A 21,652-nucleotide genomic window follows, 5' to 3' on the forward strand; every position below is an offset into this window, starting at 1 on the left:
CCTAATGCTAGATGACACGTTAGTGGGTGCAGCGCACCAGCATGGCACATGTATACATATGTAACTAACCTGCACAATGTGCACATGTACCCTAAAACTTAGAGTATAATAAAAAAATAAAATAAAATAAATGTATCAAAACTAGTTCTTATTTTAAAATGCACTTTATTAACTAATAAAATATGAGCAAGCTTTAATTTTCAAAAGCCTGGGGCTCAGAAATCCAAATATATAAAACATATAAAATAGGTGGTGGTAATAAGGATTACTAAAGAATATTTTTGTTTTATGAAATAATTGATCAGTGTTTCCTTTAAAAACATTAATTCCCTTTACTGTAGTTATTACTTTTCATTCAAAGATATTTATCTACAAGCTACAAAATTTGCAGATGAAACTTAAAAATTAATTTTGGGAGCAATCCTTTTTGGAGATCAATCCAAAATGACAGCTAAGCATCTCTGGAATTGAAATTTAGTCCAGTGGGAAACAGAATGTTATTTAGAGAGGTTCAGTTTGACTCAGATTTCAGGAAAAGTCAGTTATGTAAAATTCTCCTAGAATCATTTATGTTATGGAAAACAATAGCTTATTACCGGAGCTTTAGCCCTAAATACTGAATTCGTTAAAAGTGCCTTCTGTAATCTTAAAATGAAACCCATTATTTATTTTGAAGTAAAGGGAAAATTAAATATTCAGTAATCTTAAAATTACATGTATTTAATTATAGATGAAAAATAATTGAGATATAATTAACCTTCTATTTGCCATATGGGGATTACCTGTGTTGTGGTTATATTTGTTTAACTTCATTGACTGATGTTTCCTTTGTACCATAAACATGTAGTAAATTCTTTCTAGTGTCCAGGAACTACAATCCGTGGTCGAGATGTGAGTGAATAAGACATGGTTCTTGGACCTGAGTATCTTAGAGTCTTTGAGTTCAAACAAACAAAGCACACACAAAAGAGCAATGCAGTGTCACAAGGCTCTGCTAGCTGACGGTCCAGGGCACCCTGAGGGCACATCGCTTAACAATTGTTGTGCTTTGCAACTTGAGACTATTCATTGTCAGTAAGCATGTACACCAAACCAAATGCCTCCTGAAGGGACTTATCAATTCTGCCTGGGCTGAGAGATGTAGGAGAGGAAAACCTTTGACCTGGGTCTTAGGTGGGCAGGACAGGGTGAATGGCAGAAAAGGCAGCATGATCAAAGATGTGCATTTGTGGTGGGAACCTTTCAGGTGTCTGGGATCAACACCCCACTCCCTCTCAAGGAGCCCTGGCCACTCTTGGGCAAAATATGTGCCCATTTTTGTTGTTGTTGTTGTTGCATTTAACCATCCCCATAAGGTCTCACTAAAGCTGAACCTCCTTAAGCTAAAGTCAAATCTAGGAGTGAGAACTGACTCTGGTTCTGAGCCATTAACAATCCATTTTACTGCCTGCTTAGTCATCCTCCTGGCTTTTTCTCTGGGTGAGCTGTGGCACAGGTTATTTCTTCTATTCCGACTTGTTCACCTGGAGTTTTCCAGGTCCGGATCATGGTAAAGTGTCCCTCCATGACCACCCTTTAACTTCTATTATCTCACTAAAATGTCTGTTCTCTAAAACTTTGCTTATTTTTAAAAAGTGAGTTGAAATAAATGTGGGTTGGATATGGGACTTTAGACTTGGAATTCATTCCATCTTTAGGACCACTGGTGGTCTCAGTGTCATGTGGAGGTGGGGGCAGATATTGATAAGGGACATAGGCTAGGCTGATACCTTAATTTGCAGGAAAATAAATGTGCTATCTCACACATGCTTCAGAATAGATAAATAGTCTGTTAGATTAAGGAAATGAGTAGACAGCAGGGTTCAGGCTTCTATGTCCTCTTTTCTACAACCTGAGGAGAGTTTACTGACACCGTTTCATGAGTGCATACATTTACCTGGTGCATATATTTACCTAGGCTAACAAGGCATATTCAACCTCGTTTTGGGGGTAGAGTTGACTTAACTGTGCTCCTCCGTCATGGCCACCTGTATCCCCACCTGTGCAAAGTTTCTCTAGTTTTATTGCTTTGTTATCTCTTTATCACTGTTTCTACCTCCTCACCTCCATTCTCTAGTAAACATCCAATGTGTTTAGTAGCTTCTTTGGAAATAAATGTATCCTTCTAAAATAAAGTGTTATCTGTGTACTTATGCTTTCAATAAAGATAAATGATATTGTGCTACATCGTGAGTAAGACGTCAGGGAGTTGGTTGACAGAAGTTCCGGCACTAATGACAAAAGAGGCATGAGCCAATTGATAGAAGGCCTTGTAAGTCATGCTAAGAAATCTGAATTTTACCCATTGGCAATAGGGGGTAATTGAAAGGTTTTAAAAAGAAGATGTCGCTTTAGGACTCAAGCTTACTTTGACAGCAGTGTGGAAGATGGCTCAGAGGGGTATATATGTAAATACTAAGCCTGGCACTTAGTACATAGGAACTCCTCAACAAAGACAGCTAGTATTACTTTTCATGCTTTGGTAATCCCTGTCCTAGTGAACACAGTATAGCTTTAAGACTAAGGGTATGTTCTGAGCGATTCCCTTAAGGAAACTTCTACTGAATTATAAAAAGTATATTGGCCTTTTAAAATAGTAGCAGAACTATAATAAGAATTGTGAATATGTTTCTTTTTGAGTATATGAAACATTTATTTATGTGCATTTGGGATGCTTTCTCTAGTTTTCTGGGCTGTAGGGATGATGAGTCGCTTTAGCTGTGTTCATCTGACAGCAGTGGTGAGGATCATTTTCACAGACACATAACAGATCTCACACATATCCGTTCTAAGAACACCAGTATAATACAGTTGAATTTAGATAAAAATTCAAAATAAAATAAGCTTCTTAACTAGTGGAGCTTATTTTCAGAGAGAATGGTATTAAAGAATCTGGTTGTCATCAACCTTTTTATAGTGAGAGCATTACCTGGGTGAAGGTAAAATCTTAAACCCAAACCCTCTCCCACCACCCTTTTTTTATTGCAAGGGAACGTGACATCGGTTTATCTGGCATAAGGTTGTAATTAGGTCCAAAGCAAAAAGAAAAAAAATTATAGTTCCTCTTCCTTAGATTTTCTAAAACTGGCAGATGGAGGGGCTGCCTGCTGCCATGTGGCAGTCACCACCTGCACACTTGCTGTCCTTAGAGAAGACTTGCTGAGAGAGAGTTCTTGTATTAGCATACTATAGTGTTTATACTTGTACCTCTGGGATTTCTGTTTGAAGAATAATTGGTCTTTGTATGAAAAACTCTAAATAGATGATACGTTGATGGGCCCCATTCTCTCTTTAGAAGGAAGGTGGGTGCAGAAGAGAGTAAAAAGCCTATGTAATGGATTGAGGCCAGGTTGTTCTGGACAGTTTGTGACCTCCACAGCCATGTAGGGGACATCTAGGCTGTCCAGAGCTGGCCTCACACCCTCTGTTCATTTGGCAGAGCTGTCATTTTCATCCAAAGGAAAGTTGAAGGATTCTTTGCTCTTCTTGGGAATTTTTGCAAAGCCTTCATAAATTTCTAAAAGACATTTTTTCCTCAAAGACATCAAATTGTTCTCAAATTTCTTGTTTCTCAAGGACAATCATAAATATTATATAAACCAGCTGTGTTTGCTGTCATCTTTGGTCTCATTCCAGTAGAGAATCAATATGGGTAATTTGTCAGTCTTCCTAATCTTCGGTAGCAGTGAGGTGATGTTGTGTTGTTGCTATTTGGCTTTTGTTTTTGTTTCCTTGGTATTTTTTAGCTGCCAGATCTCTTGGTATGTGTAGAAAACCAGATTAAAAGTTACATCATATTTTAGAAAAGTCAAAGATCTAAAAATATGAGATAGAGTTTCATCCTAGAAAATGTTAGTCCTTTTTTCTTTGAAGGAAAGCAAATTCTTGATTTTCTAGTTATGAATTTTCATACAAAGAACTTATTCATTCTAAGAAATAACTCTATTTCATTGTGAGGTGATGCACCCTGCAACCTGGCCAAATGCTTTCTTGCAGCTGGATGCCAAGACCTTAAGACCAAAGTGGAGGACTCCTAATAGATGCCCAGAGAATATGGGTTTGAGGGATCACCAAACAAGCCAGATATCATGGTGGTTATAGGCGTAGACTTTAATACTAGAGAGAACCAGCTTCAAGTTCCAAATTTACCTCTTATTAATTGTATGACCTTGAGCAAGTGCTTCACTCTTTTCATCTGTAAAATAGACATTAAAATAGCTAGCTTATAATGTTGTTCTGAGAGTGAAATGAGATAATGCCTGTGAGGAGTATAACACAATGCCTGGCTGTGAGTAACTGGGTAGTAGGTGTCAGTTATTATTGTATTCCAAGAGACCTGAATTTGTTCATGTTTTTTAGGATTCCAGCAGACTCAGTCAGTGTATCTAGAGTCTTCCTTGACTTCTTTCTTATGGAATATTCTGAAGTTTCTAGTGGCAGCCAGAAATTTCAAGATACAAATGAATGATACTTCAACCACAAATTAAATAAGATTCTTTAGGTTGTGCCTTCTAAGTCTTGTGGAACCATCCAAGAAACTCAGAAATGTCTCTGAGTTTAAAATACAGAGTAGGAATGAACTGGAGGCCAACTCCCCGTTGACGAATGTGATTTGTTAGCGGAGAGCCCTATGCTCATATGGTATCTTCTCTGGGACAATCTTTGGAGCATTGGCTCCAGTATACATTTTGCAGACTTCACGTTTTAATGCGGCCCTCCTTTTTTGTCTTTGGGCAAATATTAAAACTAACTTCCTTGCAGACTTAAAACTTTTTAACTTAAAACAACTTTAACTTAAGCTAAGTGTGAAGGATTTGAGACCTTTCACTACACCAAAGGGATGCCCCTTCTATTCTGGGTACCCTGTGTTCCTCAACAGTTTATGATTTTTAAATTGGGTAGGTCTCAACTTAAGCCAGGGTTTCTCAAACTCAGCACTGCTCGCATTTTGGAGCAATAATTCTTTGCTCTGCAGGAGAGGGGGTCATCCTGTGCATGGCAGGATGTTTTGAAATATCCCTCTCCTCTGCCTATGAGATGTCAGTAGCAGCTCTGTCTCACCCCCAGTTATGATAACAGAAATGCTTCTACCCCATGGAGCAGCTAAGCTGAATGTTCTCACTGTTCTTTGTGTGGGAGTCTCTTCAGTTAACAGAATTAAAACTTGAGATGTTTTTTCCCTCTATTGAACGGTCTGTTAGAAACTCTTTGTTACCTTTTAATATGTCCTTATACTTAAGAAATATGAATATCCACACAACTTTTCTCAAAAATATCAACAGTGAAAATCAGGGTCTAGGTGGCAATGAGTAAAGCAGGGTGACTAAGAACATAAGTGATGAAGTCAGACTGGATCTGAATTCAACCTTCCCTCCCTGCTACATGTAAGCTTTGTGATCTTGGTCATGTTCCTTTAGGTCTCTTAACCTCAATCTTCTTATCTCCTGTTATGATAGATTACCATTAAGAAATAATGTGTTCAAAGTGATCAATACAGTGCTTAGAGTGTAGAACTCAATATAAATTGGTTATTTGTATTTTTTCATTTTAATTGTCAAAGAAAAACCCCTCTCTTTAAGTGAATTTCATCTGGAAGGATTTCAACAGAATACCCAGAATACAGACATAGCTACTTGCTGCTTACATATCTTACTGTGGTGGAGTCAGAAAGGAAGCCAATGAAATTGGACTTAACTTTAATATATGCTCTTTTAAATGATGTGCGATATGTGTATTGATTGTCCTTTCAGTAACTTTTTGCAATAATTTGTATGGGTATATCGAATTATAGGAGTAGAATCTTCTTTGTAGTGAATGTTAGTATTCTTAAGTGTGTGTCTTTTTCTCTGTTAGGACAATTTTGTTTTTCTGTAGAAGCCACTCCCCAAAAGTGTAATAGGAAGTAATGGAAAAACTAATACATTATTAAACAGCTGTGAAATTTTGGGGAATGCATTTATTTAATATATAAGGTATGGCTGGTACCTAGAGTGGAGTTTAAGTATAGGATTTTGTTAGTCTTAGGCTGTGTAATTTGGTGAAGAGTTAATGATACTTTTTGGTGGTCTTGGAACTACTTATGAAGACTCACTTTTTCCATCATTGTTCAAATCCAGATAAGGCTTGACCAACAGCATATCCATATAATGGAAAGTCATGTTTTAATACAGTTCCAACATTTTTGCAATCATGGATCTGCAAATCTGTTTATTAGTAAAGCACATATTACAACAGAGCTTTATAACAGTGCATATATTGTTCTTTATTTGCCCTGTAACCCACATTTTACATTTCAAAAGTTTGCTTAATTAACTAATAAATTTAACAGTGCCTTTAATTCAGAAAAGGAACAAAAATACTTTATAATCTTTTCAGAATAATTTTCTAGTATTTTTAGAACTTTAAAAAGCTGATAGTTAAAAATGTGCAGAAGCTAATGAACCAATTAATTAGTTCCCACCAATATAATGATATACCCTGATGTAATTGTGTGTTTCATTTCTGTTCTTGAATATGATTGAAAACCATTAAGACCATCAAATAAGTGTCTTGTTAATACGTTGAAAATACCATTTCTGTCTTTATAATGACAATCAATTACAAATGAAGAAAGCTGACATTTACCAATATGGGAGTTTTTATTGTTGTTTAAAATAATCCAGAAACAACTACAAAGGCTTTCTTAATGTTGACATTTTGAAGAGTGGATCATATCAATTTAGATGATGAAATGTAATTTCTGAGATAATGGATTTGATATCAAAAAAAGTATCTTATCAAAGATAAGATACTGCAGTAGCAAAATGACATGATTAAATAGATACCATGTTATGGTTCTACATGGCTATTTCTGTTCAAGACACTTGGTTTCCTGGTAAACAAATTGTTACCTTGCTTATTGCCGAATTAGCTGGAAAAATTTTCCATACTTTATTTGAAGTGTGTGTGCATTTGGATGTGCTTTTGGCAGAGTTTTTAAAGAAGAAAAGTATTAATGAAAAGGTTTTATTTTCTCCTCAAAATTTATCAGCGGGAAAAGTCATTGCTTGCACAGATACTTAGAAACTTTTGGTAGCATTAGCTTTTCAATTGATTAGGGAGAGGAATAGTGAGCTATTTTAATTTTCTGCACCATTTGCCTGGTGCAGTTTAATGAATATTGATTCATACAGATTAATTTGAAATACTAACATTGTAGGTGGTGCACAGAACATAGAAAAGCTCATTTATTAATGATTTCTTGTCTCCCTGATTAGGTTAGTTTTCACCTGGTATTCTGAAATCAGATAAAGAAGAAAGAAGAAAATTAAAATTCATTTAGTTTCATTTACGTGCCTGGCACTGGGCTAGGACCTTTCACATAAAATATCTAATTTAATCATCACGACAATCTTAGTTGTGGAAGATTATGATCTTCATTTTTTTTGTATATAAAGGAACTCTAAACCTCATTCTTAATCTCTTTTCCTCTTAAGACTTAAACTTTCTAATTCTTTTACCCCAATGTGCGTAGGAGGAGCTAAATAAATGTTAGCTTGGAAAAAGCGATTTTCTGTTTGGCAATATTTAGACAAATTCTGCCATGTTTTTTTGAAAAGGCTCATTCTCAGTTTTTTAAAGTCTGCAGCCAGTGACAGCTTCTTCTGCTAGATAACTGTCACCTGAGATATTGCGAAGGGCTGCAATGCCATAGCCACAATACTTTGTTTTCTTCAGAGGCAGGTTGGAAATCTAGGATTGAAGTTACAGAGGGCACAAAAGAGTTTATCATTTTGTTTGGCTCTCTAGGCAATAATTTGATGCTATTTTTAATTAATGCAGGAAGCAAAACAGACCACCACATTTTATTCATTAAAGATTGCATATTCAGGGAACTCAAATTATTTCATGACCCTAAGCAAACATTACCAATAATAAAGAGGAAATTGACATTCCCTCAAGGGCTTTCCAATAATTTCTAATCACATCAAAGCTTTGACATGTGGCCTAATACTCTAATCCTTTTTCTCCAGCCTCCCTTGGCCATTCCTGCTCCACAGTAACGGGGCAGGAGATGTCGCCAGTCCCCTAGGGAGGATAAAGGATCAGCTCAGTTCTTTTTCTATGACCATCCTTTGCTGTTTCAATTTGAGGTACTTTGTGATCACCACTGTCCCACTTAACTGTTCTCAACATTTAGTCTCACTCCACAGACATTTGCCCAGGAGGCTTAGACTGACATTTGCAAACATACTTTGAGTTGTAACCTTCTTTTCCTTCTTTTCTTCTTCTAAGATGAGAACACCTGAGGTGACTTTTTCTTTTAACTCTGAGCTTCTGATAGATGTTGAGTGATTGATCTTCCTCTAGCTCTGAGGACTGGCCCCTTAGCTTTAACTGGATGTTTGAAGAATGTGAAGATGCACGGTGAAGGCTCCTCTACAGGCGTAGAGATAGTGTCATGTTTGACCTGCAACTGCGTTATTTGTTTAAATCATTTGTTTTAAAAAAGAGTTTTCTTAGGTGACATTGTGGTTATATTAGAAGAAAAAAGGGATAGGAGCCCATAGTACCTCAGTGCTTTTCTGGCATTGATAAATCACCAGGAGCAAGCAATCTATAATTTCAATTAATATTGCATTTTCAAGAATAGGAATAGCAACATTCTAACCTGTTTCCTAGCTATTTAAATGTTCTCTGAAAGACTGGTTGAGAACAAAACCAGAACACGAAGTGAAGACATTTGACCTCTACACTAAAAATTGAGTTGTTTTTGTAATTGTATCCTAATATATTTTGAGGATTAAGAGCACATAGGAATTCGTCTTGAAATTTCTAGCTGGTTCAAGCTTCTCTCCTTTGTTTTTGACCCAAAAACAGAATGCACGAAAACTACTGAAGAGGCATTAAAAATAATAATAATAAAGGACATGGGCTTGGAACCGAAGACACCATGGGCTTCTGATACCTGTAAGAGGGACTAAATATTAATGCATCTGATAAGAAACAAGTGCTAGGAGACTTTCTTCCCAGAAATTATAGGTCAGGCTAATGTAGGGACTGAAATGTGCTAAAAAATGAATGTCAAATTTCACAGTTACATTACATAGTGATTTAAATTAGTTCAGGTTAGTTTAAGGCAACCATTTGTTCCTAGTTAGATCTATATAGTGAACTCTTATTTCAAGGAGTATATTGTTAACTTCCCTAAGTACACAACTGATATAAAATCACGGTAAAGCCTATGTTTTAAGAAAGAATTTGAGTTTTCTTAGGGCAATAAGCAATACTCATTCGTTCAAGCTTAGCCTGTAGAAAGTGTTTTATAATACAGCATTTATTAAATAAATAAAGTGCCTCAGCCAATAATTGTAACACAAACTTCTATTTTTAACATGTTTCAGACCCTACAAAGAGTTTGAACTTACATGATCCTTATAATGAGTCCATGAGGTAGATAAAGCATATGTGATTATGCCCCTCATTTGTAGATGAGTAATCTGATGGTCAAGTAGGCCAAATGATTTGTCTGTGGTCAGGACCAGCTTCATGGGCATGTGTCCTGTACAGCCCCACAGATTCCTCTGCTCAAAAGGGCTCTGCACTTGGTTTAATGCTCTGCCATGGCCATGTTGAAATTTTAATAATTTTTGAACAACGGGCCCTGTATTGTCTGAATGCAAATATTACATTTTGTTTTCAAATAAATTCAGAATCCTAAAGCCGGTGGAGTAATATGTAAAAAAAAAAAAAAAAAAAAAAAAAAAAAAGGAAAACAGGATTAAAAGGCTATTTTTTATCGGACTGTATAAAGTTAGGTTGCTAAAAAAGAAAAGCAGATTTGTACTACATGCGAAGAGAATGGAAACACTTGATTTAATTGACACAAGTTGCTTAATCCCTTTATACCTCAGCTTTTCATTTATGGCAAGAAGGTAGTTATGACTAGTAATGGTTGGTTTGTGGAAGTGTATTACATAATTTAGTAAATGCATTAGGAGGAAGTGTGTTATCTATCTATGACACAAAATGGCTTACTAAGTAATAGCCTGAAAAAGGTGATCAGAATTTCCATATTTGGATTTAAAGTTGGCAAAGTGTATGGCTAGGTGGATCACAATTCTTTATGATCCACATGGCTGTGTAGTACCCCTGTGCCTGTCCCATAATTTGTCAGGTAATAAAATCCCAGATGTGGTTTCTGTTTTCTGAGATGAGTAAAGTGAGGCTCATTCAATACTGTTTATAAAGTATAAGACTCTCTTAAGACTGATTGCCATAGCATAGCCATGTGGAACAGTTGTTTTATTCCCTAATGACTTTATTATCTAAGCGGGAGTGAAAGAAAATATTATTTTGGGGTGGAAGGTGGGGTTGGAGGTGGAGGAACTAACAGAGTGGAAATACCAAGCTCTGATACCAGTCCTAGGCAATTCAACTTAGACAACACTGTCCAGAAAAGCAGTGCCACTTCTAATTCTAGGAATGTCTCTTAAATTGTAATGAAATGTCGCTAATGTCACTTCTGGCCTTAATGAAAGAATCAGATAATTGTGTTAATAAAGACAGAATTGGCTATGACTCCTGGAAACAAATACAAATATTTGACAGAGCTGACAGAGTAAGTATGAGGATAATGAAGATAACACCTTAAAATCTAAATAGATTAGAAACCGTATAATTTTATCAGTCTTATGATGCAAATACTGTTGACAAAGATGGAAAACAGTAAGTAGATGTAAGTGGATTCTTTGTTGTATTTTTATTTTTCTTTTATAACAATATTCTTCTCTCCTCTCTTCCTCCCTTTTCTTCCTTCCCTTCTTAGAGGATTTAAGACATTGTTATGATAGAGCTGGTAAGGAGTTATTCATTCAATTTATTTTAAATCTCCAAGCCAGTATTGCAGGTCTACTATATGAAAGACACTAGCTTGTCACAGGCCTTCACCCTCAAGTCACACTGGAGAGACACATGCACACAATTAACTACAATTCAAGGCAGTGTGCAATATGCTCTGTAATGGTGGGGTCAGCTTTCTATTCTAGAAAGATTTGTTCCAATAGTAGTAGTGATTAATTTATCAATTGAAAAAGTGTTAAGTTTTTGGGACCTTTCTAGATAGACTTCCACAAGAGACTGTGTGTCTTAGTGAGAAGGCCTGAGACACAGCAGTCTTGGATTCAGTATCAGCTTTTCCCTTTGTTAACTATGTCTTTTTGAACAAGACATTAACTTCCCAAACTGTGCTTTCTTTATCAGCTGTATATCATAATATCCCTTGCCTTTTTTGTTGGGTTGTTGTGATTATTATATCAGATTTCTCCAATCTGTAAAACATTTCTTGAGCTCCAGTTATATATTCCAGGCTGTGTGCTAGGCACCTGGGACATAGATCAGTAAGATGCTCTGTGAACGTGATGAGTTCCCAGTGTATAATGAAAATTGCTAATTCTGATGCTTATAAAGGGCAGGCCTGTGTTGTAAATGAGTGAGAAGATACATTAAAAATCATGGGGACTGTTGGGATCCCTGATACAATGTAGAAAGCATATCCAGTTTTGATGAGACAGCTACTGCTACCTTTAACTGATTGTGGTTATCCAGGAATGCTAGTACTACATTTCTAGGCTTTGTTTTCTTAAAATGTAAAATGTGCCTATTGTTAATGTTGACATCCAATTAAAAAAAACTGTCTAAACATTTTGTATGCAAGATATAACTGAAAGGTGGAATCAACTTATGAGATGGCTGTTTGCAAACTCTAGTCTAGATAGGCATGTATGTGAATCAACCACAGAGGAGATATTAGGTATAGGAGTGGAAAAAGCTTAACTTCCAATGAGTCTAGGATGGAATAAAAAAGAATGTGATTTATGTGCCATACGAGACGGTGGTTATATTGGATTCATTAATGCCTAAAACCTTGTTCATCACAAAATTGGAGGAGGTGATGTAAACAAAAAGAGAAGCATGCTCAACTCAGTGAATCTGATACTGCTAGGGAGAAAAGGGAAGACAGAAGTAGATAAGACCAGAAGAAAGAATGAGCAAGATGGCACATGGTCTCACATGACATGCTGAGGAAACTGGATTTTTCTTATCATCGTGGGGATAGTGAGCATAGGGGAGGGTCATGGTCAGATTTCCATTCTAGAAAGATTGTTCCAGTAGTACAATGGAGGAGGACTGAAGGGGCATAAGGCTAGAGACCTGGAGCCTATTTAAGAAAGCTATGGAGTAGAAACGGAAATGATAGAAACAGAAATTAATTTGTAACTTAGAAAGCGTTAATGTGTATGTAGTACTATTCATATATGATATTGCCCTTTTTTGTTGTTGTTTGTTTGTTCGTTTGTTTGCTTTTGAGATGGAGTTTCGCTCGTTGCCCAGGGTGGAGTGCAATGGCACAATCTCTGCTCACCACAACCTCCGCCTCCCTGGTTCAAGTGATTCTCCTGCCTCAGCTTCCCAAGTAGCTGGGATTACAGGCATGCACCACCATGCCCAACTAATTTTGTATTTTTAGTAGAGGCGGGGTTTCACCATGTTGGTCAGGCTGGTCTCGAACTCCTGACCTCAGGTGATCCACCCGCCTCGGCCTCCCAAAGTGCTGGGATTACAGGCATGAGCCACTGTACCCAGCTAATATTGCCATTTTTAATTGATATTCAAGTGCATTGTCTTTCACATTTTAACATCTCTGCAGTCAAGATGCATCCTGCAGCCATAACTATGGGCTGTCACAGTTAAATTGGTTTTAGCTTTTCTCTTTTATAGTGATCATAGCATAATGACATTTCCTAATATCAACATTGTCTGATTTGTGAAATGGAATAATTATGGACTCCTAACCACTAGACTGAATTATAAAGAGGTGACATGAAATAAGCTCTAATAATTGATAATCCTACCTACACCCCTGGAAGTGAGCCTTTCAACGTTTCTCTGCTTTGGTTACCAGGAACTCCCACTTCCTGGGTGTTCATGAGATTAGAGGAGGCAAATGTATATGTCAACAGGAGCTGGGAGGTGGTATAAATGTGTGAAGCTGCTGGCTGTCAAAAACAGTTGCTGCTCAGGTCTCACCAATGCTGCTGGACACAAGAAGGAGTTAGTGTTGCTGTATTCAAGAGAAGCTGGAAATCTGAATTTTGGTGAAATCTCCCAATTTTTATATGTTGGCAAAACATTCAGCATTTTTTAAAAACCCTGTTCAGACCAAACAAAACACATCTGTTTGCTAAATAAGCCACCAACCTTGCCTCTGCTAAGCCTCTTGTTGAAGGAGTAATTTTCTGAACTTTTAATTTATACAGTTTCTTAATATTAAATGCTAGATATTACTGAATGTCACTGACAAGCCTAAGTCACAGCTGGGAGATATGAACTCTCTTCCATGTCTGTATCAGCCATCTGGTATAGCTCTCAGCCACATGAATCCTTTAGAAACAGCAGTGGGTGTAGTCTCAAGGCCTGTGATCTAAAATGGGTAGTTATTTTGTCCTAAAATATGTCTGTTTGATCATCTATTCAACAGGAAAAATTCTTGAGTGCAGTGTTTTGACATAGTATAATTATATCTCATGCCTCAAAATCCTTTTCTTCTCCAGAAACAATAACAGATGCTGTTGATGTTTAAAAAGCTGCCTGGAACACCAAAGGGAAATTTCTTAATTCTGCCCTTAAATAGATTTATCATTTGTTAATCTCCTTCAATCACAAGTTTTGTCAACATTTTCAATTTACTCTTAATAAATGCATAAAGAATAAACATATTATTTTCCCTTCTGTAACAATCATGACTGAATCAAATTCAATAAGGTGATAAAAATTAAGACTATGGGGGAGGACTTCTGCTTGTGAGAATCAAAGGTACTACACTTGCCCTTCTTCTATAAACAACCTAGACTATAGTTATAAGACAGTTGTTTTCAGGCATTGAGAAATGGGCAATAAAGGGCTGTGATCATTGAGAGAAGGGAAACACAGGTGAGTACCATATTCACCTGGATTCTCTAACTGGGACAATGAATGATGAGATTTTTTGAGACGAAGTAGAAACAAATGTGGAGAAGCTGAGAGGTAACAGAGATCTTTGAGGGTAGGTAGGCATGTACAACTGGAAGACATTAGATCTCTGGCCAGGCCAGGGTGGAGAAACATTGCTGATCACCTCAGATATTTATTTGAGACCTCAAAACGATCACACTTAAATAAGAAGGATCACGTCCTAGGGCAAGGACCATGACACAGAATCAATATCAAAATTCAAATAGTTTTATCCTAATAACAAATAAAACCAAACTTGATAGGATCAAAAGGATTTATCAGCAATGTAACTGCCTGCTACTAAAAAAAGGTAAACTCTGTTTAAAAGTAGATAACATAATCCAGACTCTCTAGTGTGTATCATTTAAAAATATCTATCATACAATTTAAGAAATTACTAGATATTCAAATAAGCAAGAAATTGTGACCTAGAATCAGGGTGGGGTGGGTGTAGGGAGAGTCAATAAAATAGACTTGGAGATAATACAGATGTTGGAATTAGAAGATAAAGACTGTAAAACAAATTATTAATATATTCAAGAACATGAAGCAAAATATGGGCATAATAAACATAGAGAATGTTTCAGCACAGAAATGGAAACTATGTAAAAGAGCCTAATGGGAATTTTAGAATTGAAAAGTACATTATATGAAATTTAAAATGAATAAGCTTAAGAATGGATTAAAGGCTGCAAAAGAAATAGTGAACTTGAAGACAAATCAATAGAAATTGTCCAATCTGAAGAATAGAGAGAAAAGCAACTGGTAAAAAGGAACAGTCTTAACAACTTGTGGGAAAATATCAAGAAGGCTATCATAAATGGAATATATGTCTCAGAGGGAGTGGAGAGTGATAAATGGGCAGAAAAAATATTTACAGATGTAAGAGGAAGGCATTTTCCAAAGCTGGTAAAGAACATTACAGATTCAAGAGGCTTACTGAACAGCAAACATGGTAAATGCAAAGAGAACCAAAGGTAGGCATATCCTCAAAAGCCAGAAACCAAAGATAAAGAGAAAATCTTAAAAGGAACCATGAAACAAAGATATGATATACAGACAGTCCTATACTTACGATTTTTTTTACTTTATGATGGGTTTATCAGGGCAAAATCCCATAGCAAACTGATGATTTCTACTAAATGCATATCATGTTTGCACTATTGTAAAATCAAAAAATCACAAGTCAAACCACTTGTAAATTGAGGACCGTTGGCTGTGTTGCCAGCATTAAATGCATTTTCCACTTATGATATTTTCGATATACAGTGAGTTTATTGGGACCCTGTAAGTCAAGGAGCATTTGCATACAGGAAAACAGTGAATATGAATGATGACTAATGTCCCATTTGAAAAAAAAATGAAGACCAGAAGACAATGGAACAACACCTTCAAAGTTCCAGAGAAAAAATAAAATAAAACCTGTCTTCCCAGAATTGTATATCTTGTTAAAATATGTCTCAAAATGAGACTAAAATAGACATTTTAAAATAAATGAAAACTGAAAGAATCTATTGTCAGCACACATAAACCACAAGTAATGCCAAACAAACTTTTTAATTTGAAGGAAAATAACACTAAATAGAAGTTCAGATTTATAGAAATCAGTGAAGAGCATGGGAAATAGAATGTAGGTAATATGAGAGACACATTTTTATTCTGCCCTTACTATCTTTTAAGTCAATTGATCGTTTAAAGCAAAATCAAGTCCCTGAAGTAAAATATAGGATAATAACAGTCCAAAAGATAGGAAAGCAAGAGGAGGTGGTTAAATGGAATTACTGTTTTAAGATGTTTATATTTTACAGTGTAAACTGAGAAAAATAAGATATATACTATAATCCTGAGGACAACCACTAACAAAATAATAAAATATCCCTTAAAGACCAAGAGAATTGATAAAGTAGAAGATTAAAAAATAATAAAATAATCCAAATGATAGCAGGAAAGTAGAAAAAATGAAACAATTTTTTAAAATAAGGATGACTTAACCTAATTATATCACAAATAATAATAAATATAAATGAACTAAATACTCCAATTCAAAGGCAGAGATTGATACATTGAAAGAAGTTTCAAGATTATCTATAGGAGATGCACTTTAAATATAAAGACAAATAGAATGAAAATAAAAGGATATAAAAAGAAATATTCAAATTCTAAATATAAGAAAGTTGTCTTTTATATTTAGCTGATGATAAAATAGTTCATGCTATTTTTAGTATGATGGAAAACAAACTTCAATTAAAAATGCATTGCCAGAAATGAAGGGGCATTTCATAATGATTTAACTAGTTTAATACATCAGAAAGTCATAATTCTAAATGTATATGCAGCTACTAACAGATAAGGCAAAAATTGAAGGAGAAGAGAAAAATAGATTCACAAAGCTAGAGATTTTAACACCCCCCTCTCAAAAATTGTTAGAACAAGTGAACAAAAAATAAAGAATATATATGATTTGAATATTACCAATCACCTTGACTTAATTGACACTTACAGAACATCAGATTAAATAACTGCAAAATATATTCCTTTTTGAGAACACATAAGCAGTTCTTCAAAATAGATCATATATTGAAACATAATATACATCTCTAAAAATTTCAAACTTTATAGTATGTATTTTTTTTCTTATTTTACTTTAAGTTCTGGGATTCATGTGCAGAACATGCAGGTTTGTTACATAGGTATACATGTGCCATGGTGGTTTGCTGCACCTATCAACCCGTCATCTATGTTTTAAGCCCCGCGTGCATTAGGTATTTTCCTAATGCGCTCCCTCCCCTTCCCCCAACCCCCCAACAGGCCATGGTGAGTGATGTTCCCCTCCCTGTGTCTTTGTGTTCTCATCGTTCAACTCCCGCTTATGAGTGAGAACATGCGGTGTTTGGTTTTCTGTTCCTATGTTAGTTTGCTGAAAATGATAGCTTCCAGCTTCATCCATGTCCCTGCAAAGGACATGAAGTCATCCTTTTTTATGACTATATTGTATTCTGTGGTATATATATATTTATATATATGCCACATTTTCTTTATCCAGTCTATCATTGATGGGCATTTGGGTTGGTTCCAAGTCTTTGCTGTTGTAAATAGTACTGCAATAAACATACATGTGCATGTGTTTTTATAGCAGAATGATTTATAATACTTTAGATATAATACCCCGTAGTAGGATTGCCGGGTCAAATGGTATTTCTGGTTCTAGATCCTTGAGGGATTGCCACACTGTCTTCCACAATGGTTGAACTAATTTACACTCTCACCAACGATGTAAAAGCATTCCTATTTCTCCACAGCCTCGCTAGCATCTGTCTTTTTTATAATTGCCATTTTTCTGACTTTTTAATAATCACCATTCTAACTGGCATGCGATGGTATCTCATTGTGGTTTTGATGTGCATTTCTGTAATGACTGGTGATGATGAGCTTTTTTCCCTATGTTTCTTGGCCACATAAATGTCTTCTTTTGAGAAGTGTCTATTCATATCCTTCGCCCACTTTTTGATGGGGTTGTTTTTTTTCTTGTAAATTTGTTTAAGTTCCTTGTATATTCTCTATATTAGACCTTTGTCAGATGGACAGATTGCAAAACTTTTCTACCATTCTGTAGATTGCCTGTTCACTCTGATGAGTGAACCATGGGATAAAGCCATGGGATAAAGAAAATAATTAAAGGAGATCTGGTAAATATTTTCAACTAAATGATAATGCAAATACAACATATCAAAATTTGTGGGATACAGCTAAAGTAGTGTTTAAAGGAAAATTTTAGCATTGAATGTTTTTTAAAAAGGTTTACAATTAATGACCTACATTTCTACATTAAGAAGCTAAATAAATATAAAAGAAGAGAGATACAATTCAGTTTCAAAGGAAGTAGAAAAGAGGAAATAAAGATAATGTAGAAGTCAATAAAATTGACAGCAAATAATGGGAAAAATTTAAAATGCTAAAAGTTGGCCCTTTGACATGATTAATGAAATTTACAAACCCCTAGCAAGACTGTTGAAGAAAACAAGCAAAAAAATGAAGTCCAATATTAGGGATAAAAGGGAATATCTCTATAAACCCTATAGATATTGAAAAGATATTATGAACAAATAACAATTTTGGGCTAATACATTCAACAAACTAAATTAAATGGAAAATTTTCTAAAATAATTCAAACTTCCAAAAGTGACATAAGAAATAAAAATAGAAATAACCTTATATCTGTTAAGTAAATACATTTTCTATTAAAAGTCTTCCTCAAAAGAAGACTCCAGAGCCCAGATATTTTCACTGTTGAATTCTACAAAAGCCTTAAAAAGTAAATAATGCCAGTATTACACAATCTTTTGCAGAAAATTAAAAAAAAATCTTCCACCTTTTTTTTTTAAATAGAAGGAAATTTTTTATTAACTTCGGTAACAGGCAAACTAGAAAATATATGCTTTGCGTGTCTCTCTGTGTGTGTGTAAAGCTATAAATAAAAAAAAAGAGTACAAAGAAACATTCTGTGAATGTTGCCATTTGCAGATAAGGACGAGGCTAAGCAGTTGCACAATACAGGGAAGGAGTACATTGGTAGGTATTTCTTATAGATACTTTTTGAGTCATTGGACTGGATTATCTACTTAATAAATTATTATGTAATTAATATTAAATAGGGTTGTGCATGGACCAATGGCAACAGTGTGTCATGAAACAGGGTGATGACTAATCGAATTCTCTGCACATTGTTATTATATGTTTAATTAAAATAAAATTCCAAAATAGAAAGCTGAGTGCTTTCTAAGAAACTGTTTTTTTTTTAAATTTTATTATTATTATACTTTAAGTTTTAGGGTACATGTGCACAATGTGCAGGTTTGTTACATATGTATACATGTGCCATGCTGGTGTGCTGCACCCATTAACTCGTCATTTAGCATTAGGTATATCTCCTAATGCTATCCCTCCCCCCTCCCCCAACTCCACAACAGTCCCTGGTGTGTGATGTTCCCCTTCCTGTGTCCATGTGTTCTCGTTGTTCAATTCCCACCTATGAGTGAGAACATGTGGTGTTTGGTTTTTTGTCCTTGTGATAGTTTGCTGAGAATGATGGTTTCCAGTTTCATCCATGTCCCTGCAAAGGACATGAACTCATCATTTTTTATGGCTGCATAGTATTCCATGGTGTATATGTGCCACATTTTCTTAATCCAGTCTGTCGTTGTGGGACATTTGGGTTGGTTCCAAGTCTTTGCTATTGTGAATAGTGCTACAATAAACATATGTGTGCATGTGTCTTTATAGCAGCATGATTTACAGTCCTTTGGGTATATACCCAGTAATGGGATGGCTGGGTCAAATGGTATTTCTAGTTCTAGATCCCTGAGGAATCGCCACACTGACTTCCACAATGGTTGAACTAGTTTACAGTCCCACCAACAGTGTAAAAATGTTCCTATTTCTCCACATCCTCTCCAGCACCTGTTGTTTCCTGACTTTTTAATGATCACCATTCTAACTGGTGTGAGATGGTATCTCATTGTGGTTTTGATTTGCATTTCTCTGATGGCCAGTGATGATGAGCATTTTTTCATGTGTCTTTTGGCTGCATAAATGTCTTCTTTTGAGAAGTGTCTGTTCATATCCTTCGCCCACTTTTTGATGGGGTTGTTTGTTTTTTTCTTGTAAATTTGTTTTGAGTTCATTGTAGATTCTGGATATTAGCCCTTTGTCAGATGAGTAGGTTGCAGAAATTTTCTCCCATGTCGTAGGTTGCCTGTTCACTCTGATGGTAGTTTCTTTTGCTGTGCAGAAGCTCTTTAATTGAATTAGATCCCATTTGTCAATTTTGGCTTTTGTTGCCATTGCTTTTGGTGTTTTAGACATGAAGTCCTTGCCCATGCCTGTGTCCTGAATGGTATTGCCTAGGTTTTTTTCTAGGGTTTTTATGGTTTTAGGTCTAACATTTAAGTCTTTAATCCATCTTGAATTAATTTTTGTATAAGGTGTAAGGAAGGGATCCAGTTTCAGCTTTCTACATATGGCTAGCCAGTTTTGCCAGCACCATTTATTAAATAGGGAATCCTTTCCCCATTGCTTGTTTTTGTCAGGTTTGTCAAAGATCAGATAGTTGTAGATATGTGGCATTATTTCTGAGGGCTCTGTTCTGTTCCATTGGTCTATATCTCTGTTTTGGTACCAGTACCTTGCTGTTTTGGTTACTGTAACCTTGTAGTGTAGTTTGAAGTCAGGTAGCGTGATGCCTCCAGCTTTGTTCTTTTGGCTTAGGAGTGACTTGGCGATGCGGGCTCTTTTTTGGTTCCATATGAACTTTCAAGTAGTTTTTTCCGAATCTGTGAAGAAAGTCATTGGTAGCTTGATGGGGATGGCATTGAATCTATAAAATACCTTGGGCAGTATGGCCATTTTCACGATATTGATTCTTCCTACCCATGAGCATGGAATGTTCTTCCATTTGTTTGTATCCTCTTTTATTTCCTTGAGCAGAGGTTTGTAGTTCTCCTTGAAGAGGTCCTTCACATCCCTTGTAAGTTGGATTCCTAGGTATTTTATTCTCCTTGAAGCAATTGTGAATGGGAGTTCACTCATGATTTGGCTCTCTGTTTGTCTGTTATTGGTGTATAAGAATGTTTGTGATTTTTGTACATTGATTTTGTATCCTGAGACTTTGCTGAAGTCGCTTATCAGCTTGAGGAGATTTTGGGCTGAGACGATGGGGTTTTGTAGATGTACAATCAATATCCTTGATGAACATCGATGCAAAATTCCTCAATAAAATACTGCAAACCGAATGCAGCAGCACATCAAAAAGCTTACCCACCATGATCAAGTGGGCTTCATCCCTGGGTTGCAAGGCTGGTTCAACATATGCAAATCAGTAAATGTAATCCAGCATATAAACAGAACCAAAGACAAAAACCACATGATTATTTCAGTAGATGCAGAAAAGGCCTTTGACAAAATTCAACAACGCTTCATGCTAAAACCTCTCAATAAATTAGGTATTGATGGGATGTATCTCAAAATAATAAGAGCTATCTATGAGAAACCCACAGCCAATATCATACTGAATGGGCGAAAACTGTAAGCATTCCCTTTAAAAATGGGCACAAGACAGGGATGCCCTCTCTCACCACTCCTATTCAACATGGTGTTGGAAGTTCTGGCCAGGGCAATCAGGCTGGAGAAGGAAATAAAGAGTATTCAATTAGGAAAAGAGGAAGTCAAATTGTCCCTGTTTACAGATGACAAAATCTTCCACCTTTTTATGAGGGCAGCATAACACTAATACCACATTATTTTATAAATATTTAAGAGAAAATAATATTATAGATTTGTCCCTCATGGTTTTATTTTTGCATAGGTATAAAAGTCCTTTTATAATTATTAGCAAATAGAACCCAGAAGTATAAATAATACATCATCAGCAAATGGGGATTATCCCAAGAATGCAAGGTGAGCTTAACATTAGCTGCTTGATTAGTGGAAGTAGCCACATTTAGATATTAATGAGAAAAAATCATACAGTCATCTCAATAAAGGTAGATTAAGTATTTGACAACATTCACTGTCCATTCATAATTAA

The 21,652-nt window shown here is 35.7% G+C and overlaps 1 protein-coding gene across 6 annotated transcripts in view, besides 1 other annotated feature; it reads left to right on the forward strand.

The window, feature by feature from the left end:
- CAMK4 (calcium/calmodulin dependent protein kinase IV) overlaps positions 1-21,652 on the forward strand; it is a 271,304-nt gene that overhangs the window by 84,558 nt on the left and 165,094 nt on the right. The window lies entirely within an intron of this gene.
- Positions 701-1,294: an enhancer, noted in NCBI's record as "OCT4-NANOG hESC enhancer chr5:110644539-110645132 (GRCh37/hg19 assembly coordinates)". NCBI's record gives its function as "activates a minimal SCP1, AML or CMV promoter by ChIP-STARR-seq in primed H9 embryonic stem cells {active_cell/tissue: H9 hESC(primed)}" and the evidence as "EXISTENCE:reporter gene assay evidence [ECO:0000049][PMID:30033119]".

The sequence above is a fragment of the Homo sapiens genome, chromosome 5 (assembly GCF_000001405.40).
Source record: "Homo sapiens chromosome 5, GRCh38.p14 Primary Assembly".
Lineage (NCBI taxonomy): Eukaryota > Metazoa > Chordata > Mammalia > Primates > Hominidae > Homo > Homo sapiens.